At 39.9% G+C, this 13,836-nt stretch overlaps 1 pseudogene across 1 annotated transcript; it reads left to right on the top strand.

The window, feature by feature from the left end:
* Positions 1–3,527: 3,527 nt before the first annotated feature.
* Positions 3,528–4,514, top strand: EIF3IP1 (eukaryotic translation initiation factor 3 subunit I pseudogene 1; annotated as a pseudogene). The gene has a single exon (NR_003024.1). The product of NR_003024.1 is annotated as a eukaryotic translation initiation factor 3 subunit I pseudogene 1 (transcript).
* Positions 4,515–13,836: the final 9,322 nt, after the last annotated feature.

The following is a 13,836-nucleotide window of genomic DNA, read 5'->3' as shown; positions in this document are numbered from 1 at the left end:
TACTATATAACCTAGGTGTGTGTGTAGTACATACCAGTAGGAAGTTAGAGCATAACTATGAGGAATCCAGGAAGGCAAAGTTGGCACTCTAAGCATATACTTTGTGTCCAGGAAATTTCTCCAAGATTACTAGATATTGAGTTACTGAGTTGGGGTTGAATGACATGCCTCTGGATTCCAGGAGAGGAAAAGGACTGGTAGTAGACAGGAGAAATTCTATCAAATAAAGAGACAGCAAGAGTTGTGAGAGGAGAGAGGAAACATATACCAGAATCTTGGTCATGGCTAATCCATAGCATATCAGGGAAAAAAGTAAACCACAAGGAGGTTAATACTACAAGACCCTAGCTGTCATTATGGGCCCCATCATCCTGATAAGTCTGGAAAACAAGACAAAGCAAACATGGGAACCTGTTTATTAACTCTAGTATACTTTGCTCTTGCTCAGTCTAACAGGCTGTTGATGTTTCATTGTTATAAAAAATTTGCTTAATGAAGTAATTTTTGACTCAAATAAGGTTTGACTTCATCTGAGGATGATGACCTGAGAGGAACTCAGGTGAGAGCTGTGAGTTGCCAACACTCCCGAATAGCTGGGAAAATGAGTGTTTCAGGGCTGGGGTGCAGCAGGTAACCTGCATGGCTCACCAGGGCATCCACTACCATCCATTGCTTGCCCTGTGCGGTTCTACATGTATCACATGAGTTCTTAGAGAGCTCTGTCAGGATTTTTGTGTGCCACTTTTCCTGGAAAAGTACATCATAGGAGAGAATGGTGAGATAAATCACAGACTTTCTATTCTCACTTCATTGCAGTTTTTTCTGAGGCTGCAAATGATATTCTTTGTCTCCCTCCTGTATCACCCATTAGAGATTCCCCTGATCCTTTCTGTAAGCTGTGCTGACTTTGGTGCCTTAACTATAAGAATGGCCCAGAGTTTTATATCTATTAGATTTGAGCCACTAGTCACCATGATCTACTCAGACCAGGGCTGTTGTATTTTCTGTTTTTTGTTACAAAATTGGGCTAGCATCACAACAGGGGCTCTCATCTAGTTGCCAAACATATTCTTCTTTACCCCCACTTATTTGGCCTGCCTACTCCTGATGGTCAGTCTATTATCCCCGCCAGAATGGTGACTCTTTCATTTTGTCTGGTGGTCTCTTGGCATTAGGATCTGGACCTATAAACAAACCACATAATTCAGAGTCCATGGGATGTTTAAGCAAAAATAAGTAGATTACTAGATGTGTTGGTGAGTGGAGCCATTTCTGTGTCTATGTTTTTGTTTCTGGACTTGTTTATTCTGCTTTACAAGGACATGAAGGCATATTATGGGTCACTGGTTTAGGGTATTATTTTGTTCTAGTTCATGGTATTCCGTCCTTTCAGGATCTCATCTCCAAGATGGTGCTGCAGTTGTATCTTCTGTAGAATGTCTCATTGTTTTATCAGGCCAGCAGCTTCTGGTTGGTGCTGTATGTGATGGAGTCAGTGGTTATGTGGCTACCACCACATGGTCTTTTCTATAGACTGCTTTTTATGCAATACTGTATAGGATCCTGTGCAGTGGGTCAAATACTCTGTAAACCCATGGGATAGTGATGCTGACTGAGGCCCTAAGAGCACATTAGGCAAAACTTTACCTTGAACATGTGTGTGTAAATTCTAGTAAAGATGAATCACTGTCTCTTCCAGGCTGGAATAGTCCAATGTAAGCAACTGGCCACCAGACTTCTTGTTGGACCCCTCAAAAGATGGTGCCATGGGTAGAACTGAGCTTAAGTCTTTGTTGTTTGCAAGTTGAACATTTTTTAGCAGTAGTAGCTTGACTAACTTTGTTGAGTGTACCCCAGGCTGTTAGCCTTTATCTGTCACTGTGCTACTTTCTCCATTCATGGCCAATGAAAAAGGCTACTGGCATCAACTGGCTGACTGCTGCAAAGTTCTTTATACCCCTGCCTACAGATTTCTCCACATGGCTTTGCCTCTGACCTTTTTAGCTCTGATTTATCAATGTTTCTTCTTCTAAGCACCTGACTAAGCAATTAGGTTGTTTGATACTCCCTTAGGGTTGATAACAATTCTATTTCAAACTACTTTTCTTTCCGTACAAAGTGGATTACCGAGATAACCACTTACAGTTCTTCCCATTAGGATTGGTCTGAACCAAATTTTATCCTTAAACCAATTTTGACTATTCTCTCCTCCATCAGCTGGTTATAAAGGATCCCCCATTTGGCCATAGCTATGAACTGAGGGAAAAGCTGGTTCAAGAGAGTCAGAAAACATGAGGGTCTTGACCCCTTGCTCATCCTACTTACGTCTGCATAACCCTTTGATTGCCTCTAGTCATGGCTAATCTATTATTTCCATTGTACTGTGACTTGATGTGTCTGATAGAATACAACTTTTAATGGACAATTCTGGCTAACTGGTGTCTCCATTTTTTAATAGGTTCAATAGCTCACAAGGAGCTATTTTTCAAAAATGTTTATTATTCTTCATTATTGATAATCCTGAATGCTATGGGTCTATGTTGTGATTATTCTATGGGAACTTCCCATGAACTCATAACTGTGTGCTTTCCAGCTGTATGTTCCACAGGTTAGACCTGATGCAGACTTCTTTTCTGCTCTGGGTCCTACTTAAAGCTGGAAGCCTTTTACATTACTTAGAATATGGGTTGAAGAAGTATTCCCAAATGAGGAATATGCTGCGTCTATTATCTGAGGAGCCTTAGCAAGTATTATCCTTCCTTCATCATGGTGAAAGGTACCCTTTACCCTGAGATTTGTCATGGCATTTTTTATTTGCTATTTATTACCCTAAAGTTAAAAAAAAAAACTTTATATTATTACCATATATTTTGCTGTTCACCTTAATATTGTGCAATGCTAGTTTTAAAGGCAAATATGAGAACATTTAATTCATATGAGGAATTGCCAAAATGACATAATTCATATTTTCTAACTCATCATTGTATATATACCTCATTCTTTTCAGAAATGGAGATGCTTCATAAAACCCAACCATTTTAATTTTACTTGTTGATATGCACACGTTCTACCAACATTTTCTACCTTCAGGTTACTATGAGTCAGGAATGTCTAAAGGAAAGGAACACAGATTGCTCTCTTTTCTTCTGCATCATCATTTTTAGCATAAGTGGTTGACGAATGCAGGCAAGTAACAAGAGTAAGGCGGGAGATAAAAGGGCTCCCTGGACATTGTTTTTCTTAGAATGTAACTGCCTTCCTTCTGTGTTTAAAGCAAGTTTTGATTCAACTGGAAAATGTAGCCTTCGAGACCACATTACCTAGTCATAAGTGCAACACACTTGTACTCACTCTGAGTCTCAATGAATTCCCGTGCTTCCTTGATCCACTAGACTTCCGCGCTCATGGAGCAATGCTATGTGCAAATGGAATGACAAGAATGGGAGAGCACACAGATGGTGCCTACTCAATCTCCTCTGCTTGCATACATAGTCTTTGTTAAATCAGACATATAAAACACAGAATCAGTTGCAGCTTTCCTTGCATCACTGCTGGGATGAAGCTGGTCCTACTGTAGGGCCATGAGCAGGTCATTAGGCAGGTGAAGTATAACTGTGAAGGAGACCTCCTCTTCACCGTGGCCAAGGAACCTATCATTAATGCATGATACTCTGTGAATGGTGAGAGGCTGGGCATCTACATGGGCCATACCAGAGCTGTGTGGTATGTGGACGCTGACTGGGACACCAAGCATGTCCTCACCCATTCAGCTGACAACCATCTTTGGGCCTGTGAAACAGGGAAACAGCTGGCCCTACTCAAGACCAATTCAACTGTGTGGATCTGCAGTTTTGACTTTGGGGGCAATATCATCACGTTCTCCATGGAGAAGCAGAAAAGCTATCAGTGCTTTGTGAGCTTCTTTGACCTGCAGGATCTGAGCCAGATTGACAGCAATGAGTGCTACCTGAAGATCCCTTGCAGTGACTCTAAAATCACTAGTGCCATTTGGGGCTCCTGTGGGGAGTGCATCATTGCAGGCCATGAGAGTGGAAAGCTCAACCAGTATAGTGCCAAGCCTGGAGAGGTGTTGGTGAATATTAAGGAGCACTCCTAGCAGATTAATGACATCCAGTTATCCAGGGACATGATCGTGTTTGTCACTGCATCCAAAGACAGCACAGCCAAGCTTTTTGACTCTATGACTCTTCAACATCAGAAGACTTTCTGAACAGAAAGCCCCATCAGCTCAGCTACCCTCTCCCCCAACTGTGACCATATTGTGCTGGGTGGTGGTCAGGAAGCCATGGATGTAACCACAACCTTCACTAGGATTGGCAAGTTTGAGTCCAGGTTCCTCCATTTGGCCTTTGAAGAAGAGTTCAGAAGAGTCAAGGGGCACTTTGGACCTATCAACAGTGTTGCCTTCCATCCTGATGGCAAGAGCTACAGCAGTGGCAGTGAGGATGGTTACAACCATAATCTACTACTTCAACCTACAGTACTTTGAATTTTTTTTTCAACCTCTACCTTTTATGAATTCTTATTTTTTTCTTTTTCTTTTTTATTATATTTAAGTTCTGGGATACATGGGCAGAACGTGCAGGTTTGTTACATAGGTATACATGTGCCATGGTGGTTTGCTGCACCCATCAACCAATCATCTACATTAGGTATTTCTTCTAACGCTACCCCTCCCCTTGCCTCCCAGCCCCTGACAGGCCCCGCTGTGTGATTTTTCCCTCCCTGTGCCCATATGTTCTCATTGTTCAACTCCCACTTATGAGTGAGAACATGTAGTGTTTGGTTTTCTGTGAATGATTTCATGTCCCTTGCAGGGACATGAATAAAATACTTCAAATTTGAGTTTTAGGCATAAGAAGCTGGATCTCTATCTAGGCCAGGAAAGCTTCTCACATAATGTTTTGAACTCTGAGAAATAAATACATTTGGTAATTAAAAAAAAAAAAAACAGAGTCAAAGAAAAAATTAATAAGAATTTCAGGATAATAACAGCAGAGCATTAAACCAAGGACAGAACCCTTCTGAGTACAGAGGCAAATGATAGGCCCATGAAGCTTGTCCTGGTCATAGGTTGCTTTGGAAGAAAACAGAGGAATTCATTGCCATATACACTTGCCATAGTATTGCAGAATACTTCCTTATCAAGACCTAGCTTCTTTTTTGGCCAATCAAAATCTGGTTTCCAGATCTGAGATTTCGCTCAGGTCCGGAAACTATTGTGACATTTTATTGAGATACCTGCCCCCATGCTCCAGGTCACTCATCCTTAATATATTTTATTATTACAATTGAGAAACAATCTTTGTTTTCCTACCCCTAGGAACTGAATAGCTTTCTGCGGGCCAGAGTCTCCTGGCTTCCACTTTGATTTTGCTGCTTATTACAGCAATCGTGCACACATTCCTTCTGATGGTTAAGCATAGCCACTTAGCATCTATTATTTTGGGATCTCCCTTGTTACCAGTGAACCCAGTTCTATGAGAGCATCTTCCACCATCTTCCCTGGCTTACAAAAGATGGCCATCCCTGAGTTTTTCAATTATATTGGTGCACTTCTCATCAGTGTATTCCAGATCACTGGTAAATTCAGTGTCCTCTGAGATCTCACGTGTGACAGTCATCTGGTGACTTACACAGTATATTCCTCTAGCATGCATCTCTGAACCTTTTGAATCCCTTCTTTTACTACTTTTGATAAGAATTCTGGCACCTGTCTTGCATATAATATGGTCTATCACTTTCTTCATGCTGCTGAGAGCCCTTATGATATCATTATTTCCTGGGTCCTTGTTAGGGTGTGAAATTCTATGTTATGGAAGACTTTCCCAATATTAATAAACTTTTTTTTTTATAAATCCTCCTTGATTCAGTACTCTCAGGATCAAATCCCATGCATACTCTATTGCAGCCTACTGATATATGTTGCTGATATGTGTTCTGTACTGATATATGTTCTGTAGCTCCTTTGAGGTTGGTCTTTTTCTCTTCCGAAAGACCCAGGACTTTCCTGGTCAGGTTATATTGAGACATACTGGTGGCCAGAAGAGCAGACGGCAATAAATTCTGATAGAGTTTGTATTTTATTGCAAGAAACAATCATTTCCATCATCTTTAAGCACAGGGAGTGCTAGCCTTTAATAGAAAGGAGTGAGCTACCACTGAAGGTCAAAGACTTAAGCGGAATCTAGTAATTTAAGTTTCAAATGCATCAACATGAATGTCCCTATCTCACATCTCAAGATCTCACTCCTTCCTAATCAAGGCCCTCATATTGGCATAGAAGGCCTTCCAGGATTGAGAGTTCAACCTGCTCTCAACCTCTTCTCCCTGTAAAGGTTAAAATATGAACTTCATCCTTGCCTTCTTCAACCTTTCAGTTATGGGAGATGAGAACGTCTTTATTTGCTGCCAGAATTTTCACACTTAATGTTTCACTAGTGATTAATCAACCTCAGTCTTGCATTGTTTTTCTCCAGCACATTATATACCCCATCCAATTCTATAATTTCTGAAATCATTTTCTCAGCCTGAAACATTGCACCTGCCAATGAATTTCCTTCCACCTGTGAAGTTTTAACAATCACATTACTGCAGCATGCCAGGTCTCCCAACACTTCACATACCATCACAGCTGGATTCCTCATCTGCAGCCAGTCAGAAGGTGAAACAGCTCCAATATCTCCTTTCAGAGTCTGCCTCCTCACACCCTTTCTGGAGCCAACTCTATAGGTCAGATTTCTAAGAAAACAGACTCTGATGTGGAGATTTGCATTTAGAAAATGTATTAGTGACTACCCTTCAGATCCATATCTGGGAACATTAAAAAAAAAAAAAACAGAAAGAAAGTAAAAGGAAGAAGTTTACCTCTGATGGAATTGCTACAAAAGGCTCAGCTGACACCAAGCTGAGGTCTAGTGCTCAATAGCCTTTCACAGTTGTTTTGCTGTGAGGCAAGGGGTCTAGGCTTTTAAATTCCTTTATTGATCATTCACTGGATATGGCCTTTCCCTGGAGAGTAGTCGTGACCTTGGGCAAGTCAGATCTCTTCAATCTGTGGAAATTTTCAGCTAGGAGGTACTTAAACATCCTGCAGCCGAGGAGAGTATGATAACAGTCACTAAACTTGCTTCCACAGTTATTTTAGGAAATATTAAGAAATGATCCAATCCTAACCAATTTTAGTTTTCTTTAGTTCATTTGTTTGGTCATTTATAAAAATAAAATATGTAAAATAAAATGAAAATCTGACATTATTTTCCAGAAACCCTCATTGACAGAAATGAAATTACTTAGATTTTCACCTCAGTACTTTTCATATTAAAAAGAATGGCAATATTTATATGTTCAAAAGTACTGATGCAAAGTCAGTAAGATGCAAAGTCAGTAAGCAAAAGCCATCATCTTCTCACTCACCAAAATAACCTTATTTGCCTCATTTTGCATTTGTCTTAATAGCCTTACTATATCAACTAGTAAATTAGAGTCTCAGGCTTGGCAGGCAAACCAACTTAATCTCAAACAGTCAATTTAGTTTGGCATTTAGAGATAGTGTTTGAACATTTCAGTTTATCTTATTTCTGTTTTGTTAGTTTTTAAAAATTACAAAGTACTAGTTTTAACTGATATTCAGCCAGTTTTTACAAAATTTGAATGAAAAAAATTAACTCTTTTGGTATACAGTTGTATGAATTTTCAAAATTAGGTAATGTGACTAACACCACCAACAGGAAAGAGAACAGTTCTATCAAGTCATGGGTTTTTCTCATAATACCTCTTTCTATTTAAGCCTTCTGCTCACTCTCTGTCTCTCTCTCTCTCTCTTTTTTTTTTTTTTAAGACAAGATTTCACTCTGTTGCCCAAGCTGGAGTGCAGTGGTGCAATCTCTGCTCACTACCACGTCTACCTCCTGAGCTCAAGTGATCTTCCCACTTCAGCTTCCCGAGTAGCTGGGACTACAAACATGAGCCATCACAAGTGGCTAATTTATTAATTTGTTTGTAGAGATGAGGTCTTACTCTATTGCCCTGGCTGGTCTTGAACTCCTGGTCTCAAGTGATCCTCCTGCCATGACCTCCCAAAGGTCAAGGGATTACAGGTGTGAGCCACCACACCTGGCCTTCTGCTTCCTTTTAATGCTTAGTAAACACTATTTTCCATCCCTACAGTGATTTTTTTTTCAAAATGTCATATATGTTGACTCATATAGTATGTAAAATTTTGAGTCTAGATACTGTCAAATAGCATAAAACATTTGAGATTCATTCATTTATACATAAATAGTTTGTTCCCTTTATTTGCTGAGTAATATTCCATTTTTGGATATATCACCACTTATTTCTCCATCCCCTAGTGATACGTTTTGGACATTTGTCCCCTCCAAATCTCGTATTGAAATGTGATTCCCAGTGTAGGAGGTGGGGCCTAGTGGGACATGTTTGGGTCATGTTGGTGGATCCCTTGTGAATGGGTTGGTGCCTTCCCTGTGAGTTCTTGTTCTACTCCTTCACATGAGATCTGGTTGTTTAACAGTGTAGCACCACCCCCTCCTCTCTCTTGGTCCTGTTGCCATATGGCCAGTTCCCCTTCCCCTTCTACCAAAATTGAAAGCTTCCTGAGGTGCTAACCAGAAGCAGTTACTGGCACCATGCTTCTTGCACAGCCTGCAGAACTACGAGCCAAGTAAACTTCTCTTCTTTATAAAATACCCAGACCCAGGTATACCTTTATAGCAATACAAAGAAAACTAACACACCTAGTTAAGGAACACTGGCTTATTTACAGATTTTGGTGATTTTGAATAAAGCTCTTGAACAGGATACAAAATCCATCCTGTATTTATTTTATACATTTCATTTTTATAAATGACCAAACAAATGAACTAAAGAAAACTAGAATTGGTTAGGATTAGATCATTTCCTAATGATATTCCCTAAAATAGTTTTGGAAGCAAATAAAAGGCTTACATTTTATGTGGGTAAATATTTAGAAATAGAATTTCTGGGTCATATGTTAAGAGTATGTTTAAATTTATATTAAATTTTTAAACTATTTTCAAAAGTGTATCTCTATCAGCAATGTATGAAAGTTCTATTTGTTACCCATACTATTTAGCTCTTGGTTTTGTTAGTCTTGTTGTTTTAGCTGGCAATATATCTATTTAGGTTTACACTATATGCTGTGTTTCACCTCATTTACATTATAGTGTCAGATTTCAAAACCTTTTCTTTGCTGTTTGCTTCTGCCCCGTTATACTCCTTGCAGGTGTTTGTGACTTAGGTGTTAGTGTAGATTATAGTTCAATTCACAAAGCCTTTGTTATGTTTCTCAGAGGCATTACATGCATACATAGAGTTTGAGGATGACCGTGAGGCTTGTATAGGTTCATACCCAGAATTAGAAGATCCTCTTCTCTATATGTCTCTTCTCCAGGATATCCTTCACACTTGTAGGCTCACAGAGTCCTTTTTTCCAGTTTCACTGGCAAGTGAGATGTTCTTTTAGCATTTTAACCTTCCATATTACTGCACAGTTTTACCTGCTGAACCCATCTTTGGTGAAGTATTTAAAAAGAGAGAGAGAAATAACAATAATTATTTCAATCGTTTTTGCCCCATTGGGACTCTTTTTCTTATTTCTCTACACAGAGAAATTATTTTCTCTTGAATTTTAGATACGAAGCTACCTCCTCTGCAACTGTGCAGATCGACGACCTTGGGAAGAAAGTGGTAGAGAAAAGAGAGAGAGGGAGAGGAAGAGATAGCAAGAGATAGAGAAACAGAAGGGATTTCCTCCATACTTATCAGCTCACAAAGTCTCTTTTTCCCAGTTATCCAGGCAGGAGGATGGATTTCCCTAGGATGCTTTGATGTTTAGGCCTGTAGCTAAGTTTCTCAATTTGGGCCTGCCCTCAAGTCAAAGGCGAGAGGGCGGGGTGGGGCGGAGGCAGGGGCGGGGCGAGGGGGAGAAGTGGGGCTAGCAGGAAATACTGCAATTGTAAGTTGACTTCCCTCTAGAATCAGCCTGTTCCAATTGATTTACAGAGTTGCTTTCTGTATTTTCTCCCACATGGGCTGTAGTGGGCTTCTTCTCTCTTGGCTGTTACTGGAAGGTCTGGATCCTCTGTCCAACCAAGTTCACTGTAGACAGCATCTTCCTGCTACAGTCTAGGTACCGTCTTACCATGGCACAACATAGCATCTAGAACCAAGGAGAAGTGTCGGGAGTGGCCTGGGAAAAAGTATAACCTTCTCAGGTATTGGTGTGGAAGAAGAAAAACTCTTTATTTCAACTGCTCCGCTTAGGTTCTGGGATTCAGTTTCTCTACCCTAAAACAGCCATTTTAAAAACATGTTTTAAGTGTTTAATTTTTCTTTAATTCCAAAACTAGCTGACCAATAAATTAGCTTTCCATTATTTGATATTTGCTACAATTATATATGTTTTAAAGCTGGATTAAAAAATTAACTGAAATTAATAACCAATATAAAATTTTATAGTAATTTAGGAAACATGTAAATATGCTTTATGCCTAAATAAAGAATATGAAATTAAATTAGTTTGCCAATATCACCATTTACTGGGAATGTGTCAGGAGCTAAAGGTGAATACATGATAAATGAGCTCAGATGAAGCATTTATTTCCTGCAAACTTATCTGAGAAGTCCTCTAATATGTTTGCTTGTGTCCCCACCCAAATCTCACATTGAACAGCAGTTCTCATAATCCCCACATCATGGGATGAACCTGATGGGAGGTAATTGAATCATGGGGGTGGTTACCTCCATGCTGTTCTCATGATAGTGAGTTCTCATGAGATCTGATAATTTTATAAGGAGCTTTTCTCCAGCTTTCACTCTGCCCTTCTCCTTGCTGCTGCCATGTGAAGAAGGATGTGTTTTCTTCTCCTTCTGCCATGATTGTAAGTTTCCTGATGCCTCTCCAGCCATGCTGAACTTTGAATCAATTAAACCTTTTTCCTTTATAAATTACCCAGTCTTTGGTATGTCTTTATTAGCAGCATGAGAACAAACTAATATAGTATATTGGTACTGGGAGTGGGGCACTGCTGTAAAGATACCCAAAAATGTGGAAGCAACTTTGAAACTGGGTAACAGGCAGAGGTTAGAACAGTTTGGAGGGCTCAGAAGAAGACAGGAAAATGCTGGAAACTTTGGAGCTTCCAAGAGATTTGGAGGGCTCAGAAGATGGGAAGATGTGGGAAAGTTTGAAACTTCCTAGAGACTTATTGAATGCCTTTTCCCAAAATGCTGACAGTGACATGGACAATAATGTCCAGGCTGAGATGGTCTCAGATGGAGATGAGGAACTTTTTGGGAACTTGAATAGAAGTGACTCTTGTTATGCTTTAGCAAAAAGACTGGCAGCATTTTGCCCCTACCCTAGAGATATTTGGGGCTTTGAACTTGAGAGAGATGATTTAGGGTATCTGGCAGAATGATTTAGGGTAACAACAGAAGAGTTTGAAATACCATTCACATATCTAAACAGATTTTTATTGCACAAAAGTACACCATCTTTTGAAGTGAAGAAGTTATGGGAGAAAGATAATACCATTGGCATTATCATTTTGATAGCCATTGACACCAGCATCCTGATGTGTGGAGGAAACCATTTGTTCATCAGTCAAATGATTTCATGAGAATCATACTTGTGTGACCTTGGAAAGGGGTCCTGATCCAGACCCCAAGAGAGGGTTCTTGGACCCCACGAAAAATTTGAGGTGAATTCATAGAGTAAAGTAAAGCAAGTTCATTGAGAAAATAAAGAGTGGCTATTCCATAAACAGAGCAGCCCCAAGGGCTGCTGTTTGCCCATTTTTTATGGTTATGGTTATTTCTTGATTATATGCTAAACAAGGGGTGAACTATTCATGAGTTTTCTGGCAAAGGGGTGGTCAATTACCAGAACTAAGGGTTCCTCCCCTTTTTAGACTATATTTGGTAACTTCCTGCCATTGTCATGGCATTTGTAGATTGTCATGACGCTGGTGGGAGTGCCATTTAGTATATTAATGCATTACGATTAGCATATCACGAGCAGTGAGATTGACCAGAGGTCACTTTCATGGCCATTTTGTTTTTGGTGGGTTCGGGCCACAGGTTCTTTACTGCAACCTGCTTTATCAGCAAGGTCTTTATGACCTGTATCTTGTGCCAGCCTCCTATGTCATCCTGTGACTTAGAATGCCTAACTTACTGGGAATGCAGCCCAGCACGACTCAGCCTTATTTTATTCAGCCCCTATTCAAGATGGAGTTGCTCTGGTTCAAATGTCTCTGACAACTTGTAAACAGAAAAGTATCTGAGACAGGTCTCAATCAATTTAGAAGTTTATTTTGCCAAAGTTAAGAACAATGCCCAGAAGAAATAAACAAGGGATCACAGAAACAGTCTATGGTCTGTGCCTTTCTTCAAAGATAATTTTGAGGGCTTTAATATTTAAAAGGGAAGAGTGGGTTGGAGGGGAAAGAGGGAGGGTAGGGCAATCCACATCTTGCAAGGGAAAAGAAACAGGTAGGGGAATAGTCAATTATGCATTAGTCTTACACTCAATATATATGCACTTTACATAAGATAAGGTGAATCTGTGGAGATATTTAAACTTTTTTCTGTAGCTGTCTACTGAGGAACAAAAGGAAAGGCATTTTCTTGCATGACTCAGCTTTCAGCTTAATGTTTTACTTTTGGCATAATGAATTGGGATCTCAAGTTTTTATTTTCCTTTCACACACTTAATGTCTCTGAAGCTTGGCTTCTTTGCCTGAAAAAGAAGGTCGCTTATAGTAGTACCTATCCTCAAAGGATTATTAGGATTAAATGAGATAACGCATGAAAAAAGATCAAGCAAAATTTTTGGCAGAGAGAGCACTATAAACATTAACTCTTTTATTTGAGTGAATAGCACTATAATGTACAAACTCAAAGTTATGCCAGTCTCTAGAAGCTACAGAGAGTTCTATCACAGTGATGTATACAGAAGCCAACAAGTTGATGATTCTGTGAAGACAGAATTTCCTGATGGCCTTGTTGGGACTCAGAAAATAATATCTGAAAGCATGACACCTTGGCAGGCAGAGTACTTTGAACTAAAGATTGGAAGGCTTCAGAAGCAGCCTCAGAACCAGTGTCTCTCGGACCTTCTCTACTCTCCTGTTTCTCATTCCTCTTTTCTTCTGAGCACAGGGAGGGGCTTTCTGTGATGTTCCCTTATCTGACTACAGACAGAAGAAATGCAATTGTCATGAGTCTGCACCCTAGTAATCCATTACCCACAAAAGATTAACTGTATCACAGAAGAAGAGACTGAAATTTGACACCACCCGGACTATCACCTGTTCTTTGGAGAGCCCATTGATTTTTCTCCAAAATTATTCACTCTCCCTTAAGTTGCCTACATCTCCCCTCCAGTCTCCCCTACAAAGAGTGTATGCAGCTTTTAGGTCTCAGTGGCTTTTGGGGTACACACTTCTTTCCTTTGATGATGCCCCATGCATGTAATAAATGTGTTTGCCTTTTCTGTTGTTAATCTGTTTACTGTCAGTTTATTTTATAGACTTGATTATCAACTTCAGAGGGTAGACAGAAAAGTTTTTTTCTCCCCTACAGTCCATTACTATACACATACCGCTCGTGAAGAAATTATGTTCCTCTGTTTTTTTTAATAATGGGAATTTTCAATGAAAGAGGCTCAGAACAGGCTGGGCGCAGTGGCTCACGCCTGTAATTCCAGCACTTTGGGAGATCGAGGCAGGTGGATCACCGGAGGTCAGAAGTTCAAGACCAGTCTGGCTA

The sequence above is a fragment of the Homo sapiens genome, chromosome 7 (assembly GCF_000001405.40).
Source record: "Homo sapiens chromosome 7, GRCh38.p14 Primary Assembly".
NCBI lineage: Eukaryota > Metazoa > Chordata > Mammalia > Primates > Hominidae > Homo > Homo sapiens.
Note: the sequence above shows the minus strand (reverse complement) of the source record. Positions and strands in the feature narration are given on the sequence as shown.